Genomic DNA, 4,919 nt, shown 5'->3' on the forward strand with positions numbered 1-4,919 from the left:
CCCGGGAGGCGGAGGTTGTAGTGAGCCGAGATCGCGCCACTGCACTCCAGCCTGGGCGACAGAGCGAGACTCCGTCTCAAAAAAGAAAGAAAGAAAAGAAAAAGAAAAGAAAAGAAAAGGAAAGAGAGAGAGAGAGAGAGAGAGAGAGAGAGAGAGAGAGAGAGAGAGAAAAGAAAAGAAAAGAAAAGAAAAGAAAAGAAAAAAGAGAGAATAGCCAAGGCTATGTGTGCAGCAGTGGGTGGGGGAAGCTGGGAGGAGAAGTCCCCCTCTTATATCTGTTTCTGAGCACGGGTGCCACCTGGCCACTGAGATAAAACCATGATCCTCCCATACAGAGCCCAGAGCTGCACCTGCATCTGTGCTGGGAGGTATGAAATCACTTTCAGCTCCCAAGCAAGTAGCTTTAGAGCACAGGAGAGTGCCACCCTAATCTCCTTTGTCCCAAGGGGTGCTTTGTTGTGCTGTACTCTTCCTCCCCCAGGGACAATCTGCTTTAATTGTTAGACCTCCAGGAATTCTGCAGCTCCCCTGAATCCTGTCAGCCTTTTGTGGTTGTCAGAATTGAGCACAGTCTGAGCACATTCTGGTGAATGTCTGTTCAGGATTGAGTGATGCAAAAATAGAAAGCCTAAGACTGCCCGGGCAGGACAGAGTCCCACGATGGGTGGGACCAGTCTCAGCTCAAGTCTGGAGAGAGGGCAAGTAACCCTGCAGGGGTGGGAGCAGGTACACCAAATGCCTGGAGGCAAAAATGCCTGGAGATATAACCAGGCAAGGAGTAGAGAAGCCACCTCTGCACAGGAAGGGAGGGGTGGCCCATGTTCCCAATCCAGTCTGTGGAGAGGGAACCACCTCCCTCCCTCTCCTCAGAACCGGTAGGGCTCACTCCCTCAACTGACTAAGGTGACTAAGGCAGCAGGCTGGGGCACCCAACAATGTCACACACAGACTAGTCCCAGGTCACAAAGCTGTTTCTGGCTGCAAATCTCACTGCCTGGGAGAAACTGCAGCTTCAGCAAGTCTCCTCCCACTTCCGTCCTGTGATGTGAGAGAGCCCAGTTCCAGCTGCAATGGCTGGAGCACACCCCATACTCATTCTGGTCTCCTTCTGCAAACCAAGTACTCCAATCTCTGGCCAGAGACTAAAATGCCTGCAGCAGCCACCACTGCCAGCTTATCAAATAATGACTGACTTAGTATGAGCCCAGATTGAAAACAGAATCTTCCTCTCAGCCCTAGGTCTGGGAAATGCCTGCAGCTTTTTCCAGTGTCCTTTTTCTCTCTCAGTCTCCCAGACTCTCCCCAAGTTAGCTTCAGGGTTTGGGAGAAACAAGTTGCTCTCCCATAGCCTGGGTTACATAAACAGCCAGTGGAAAGGTGAGTGACAGAAGAAAACTCCCCCTCTCACATATCGGGGCTTCACACACTTTCCTCAGCCAAACACTGCCACACAGGCTGCTTGCCTACCTTCTCTTTCCCAAGTGTCTGAAGTATCCTTCACTTTTTTGGTGAATTCTTAATATTTCTTCTTGAATAAATCCTCACAGTGTTAATTTAGATGCACGATTTTGCTATTTCCAAGTAGACAAGGTATGCTAAAAGCCTTTAATCCACCATCTTGGGGTAAAATTCCTGATATTGGCAATTGAGTTCCTTTCAGGTTTTTTTCTTGATAAATATAGGTAAAGACTTACCAATTTCACTTATTTGTCCAGAAACCAAGTTTTGGCTTCATTAATTTTCTCTAATATTTTGCTGCTGTTAATTTCATTGATTCATTCCTTTATTTTTATTGTTTCTTCTTACTTTTGAGTTAATTTGATTTTTGTTTTGTGATTTCTTTTAAATATTTTTTAGGACAACAGAAATTTATGATCTCACAGTTTTGGAGGCTATAAGTCCAAAATAAAGGTGTCAGCAGTGTTGCACTCCCTCTGAAGGTTCTAAAGAAGCATTTTTCTTTGACATCTAATTTCTGATGACTCCTGCAGTCACTCCAATCTCTGCCTTGGTGGTCACATAGCTCTCTTCCTTCTGTATGTCTCCCTGTCTCTGTTTTCAAATATCTTTCTCCTTTCTCTGATAAAGATCCCAGTCTTTGGGTGACATCCTAATCCAGATAACCTCATCTTGAGTTGATAACATCTGCAAAGACCCTATTTGCAGACCTACATTCAGAAGTACCATAAGTTAGGACTTCAACATGTCTTTCATGGACACAATTCAACCCGCCATACTATTAAATAGGGAGGGATTTGACTCAGTTGTAACAGAAACATTATCTATTCACAGAAATCTGGCAGTAGAGTCAGTGGCAGATGTCGACATCTTTTTTTTTTTTTTTTATTTCAGTAGTTTTTTTTTATTTCAGTAGTTTTTTTTTATTTCAGTAGTTTTTTTTTTTTTTGGAAAACAGGTGGTTTTTGGTTACATAGATAAGTTCTTTAGTGGTAATTTCTGATATTTTGGTGCACCTGTCACCTGAGCAGTGTAAACTATACATAATGTACGGTCTTTTATCCCTCACCCTCCTCCCAACCTTCCTTTTGAGTCCCTAAAGTCCATTATACCATTATTATGCCTTTGCATTCATATAGCTTAGCTCCCACTTATAAGTGAGAACACATGATATTTGGGTTTCCATTCCTGAGTTACCTCACTTAGAATAATGGTCTCCAACTCCATCCAGATTGCTGCAAATGACATTATTTTGTTCCTTTTCATGGCTGAGTAGTATTCTATATTGTATATATACCACATTTTCTTTATCTACTCATTGGTTGATGGGCATTTAGGCTGGTTCCATATTTGTGCAATTGCAAATTGTGCTGCTATAAACATGCATCTGCAAGTGTCGTTTTCATATAATAACTTCTTTCCTCTAGGTAGATACCCAGTAGTGGCATTATAGTAGGTAGCTAGGGACAGGCATGAGCATGGCAGGAGAGGGCTCCCCCAAACCCCACCAGGAACGTCAAGTGACAATCAGGTGATGGTCAGGCAGTTGTTAACCATCTCTCGAAAATAATTGGTCACAGCCAGCACCAGGAAAAGGCAGTCTCCCTATAGATAGAAAAAACCTGAAACTGGTGATGAGCAGCTCTCCAATAAGATCTCAGGAGTTGGGTGAGTGGGCTTGAGCATGTGCAATAAGAGGCAAAATGGTGGAGTTTACTGTATATGACTCAGAGACATTCCACCAATAAGGGAAGAACACCTCAAGTGAGCATGCATTCGACTCCAGTAAACACGCTGCACATGCTCACCTCTCAAGTGCTAGCAGGCCACTGCACATGCGGGCAGCCCGCCCCAAGGGAAGAATCAGGGAAAAAGAAACAGAAGACCCTGGAAGTATGCCAACATATAAAACCCTAAGTCAAAAAGTCAAACCGTGCACTTGTCTTTCTAGTCACTTTTTTGGCCCTCTTCCAAGTATACTTTCTTTCCTTTTGTTCCTGCTCTAAAGCTTTTTAATAAACTTTTGCTCGTGCTCTAAAACTTGCATCAGTCTCTCCTTCTGCCTTATGCTGCTCAGTCAAATTCTTTCTTCTGAGGAGGCAAGAACTGAGGTTGCTGCAGATCCATACAGATTTGACACTGCTAACACTGGAATTGATGAGTCAAATGGTAGTTCTACTTTTAGTTCTTTAAGGAATCAACATACTGTTTTCCATAGTGGTTATACTAGTTTACATTCCCACCAGCAGTGTAAAAGTTATTTTCACAATATGGATTCTACCCATACATGAGCATGGGATGTGTTCCCTCCACACCAACATCTATTTTTTTTTTTTAATCATGACCATTCTTGCAGGAGTAAAGTGGTATCTCATTGTGGTTTTAGTTTGTATTTCCCTGATAATTAGTGATAATGAGCATTTTTTCATATTTGTTGGCCACTTATATATATTCTTTTGAGAATTGTCTATTCATGTCTTTAACCCAATTTTTGATGGGATTATTTGTTTTTTTCTTGCTGATTTGTTTGAGTTCCTTGTAGATTCTAGATATTAGTCCTTCATCAAATGCATAGTTTGCTAATATTTTCTCTCATTCTGTGGGTTGTCCATGTACTCTGCAGATTGTTTCTTTCGCTGTACAGGAGCTTTATAGTTTAATTAGGTCCCATATGTTTATTTTTGTTTTTGTTGCATTCGCTTTTGCATTCTAGGTCATGAATTTTTTGCCTAAGCCAATGTCTAGAAGAGTTTTTATGATATTATCTCCCAGAATTTTTATGGATTCGGGTCTTGTATTTAAGTATTTGATCCATCTTGAGTTGATTTTTGTATAAGGTAAGAGATGAGGATCCAGTTTCATTCTTCTACATGTGGCTTGCCAATTATCCTAGCACCTTTTGTTGAGTAGGGTGTCCTTTCCATACTTATGTTTTGTTTGCTTTGTTGAGGATCAGTTGACTATAAACACTTGGCTTTATTTCTTGGTTCTCTATTCTGTTCCATTGGTCTACATGGCTATTTTTATACCAGTACCATGCTGTTTGGGTGACGATACCCTTGTAGTATAGTTTGAAATCAGGTAATGTGATGCCTCCAGATTTGTTCTTTTTGCTTAGTCTTGCTTTCACTACGCAAGCTCAGTTTTGGTTCCATATGAATTTTAGGATTGTTTTTTCTAGTGATGTGAAGAATGATAATGGTACTTTGATGGGAATTGCATTGAATCTTGTTCTTGGCAGTATAGTTATTTTCACAATATTGATTCTACCCATCCATGAGCATTTGTTTGTGTTGTCAATGATTTCTTTCAGCAGTGCTGTGTAGTTTTCCTTAGAGAGATCTTTCACCTCCTTAGCTAGGTATATTCCTAAGGTTTTTTTGGTTTTGGGGTTTTTTTAATTTTTAAGTTCCAGGGTATATGTGCAGGATGTTCAGGTTTGTTACATAGGTAAACGTGTG

General features: G+C 41.3%; 2 annotated features.

Annotated features, from left to right (window-relative positions):
* Positions 963-1,022: an enhancer, noted in NCBI's record as "active region_22746". NCBI's record gives its function as "activates an Ori minimal core promoter by ATAC-STARR-seq in GM12878 lymphoblastoid cells {active_cell/tissue: GM12878}" and the evidence as "EXISTENCE:reporter gene assay evidence [ECO:0000049][PMID:35858748]".
* Positions 1,053-1,172: an enhancer, noted in NCBI's record as "active region_22747". NCBI's record gives its function as "activates an Ori minimal core promoter by ATAC-STARR-seq in GM12878 lymphoblastoid cells {active_cell/tissue: GM12878}" and the evidence as "EXISTENCE:reporter gene assay evidence [ECO:0000049][PMID:35858748]".

This window comes from Homo sapiens, chromosome 5 (genome assembly GCF_000001405.40).
Source record: "Homo sapiens chromosome 5, GRCh38.p14 Primary Assembly".
Lineage (NCBI taxonomy): Eukaryota > Metazoa > Chordata > Mammalia > Primates > Hominidae > Homo > Homo sapiens.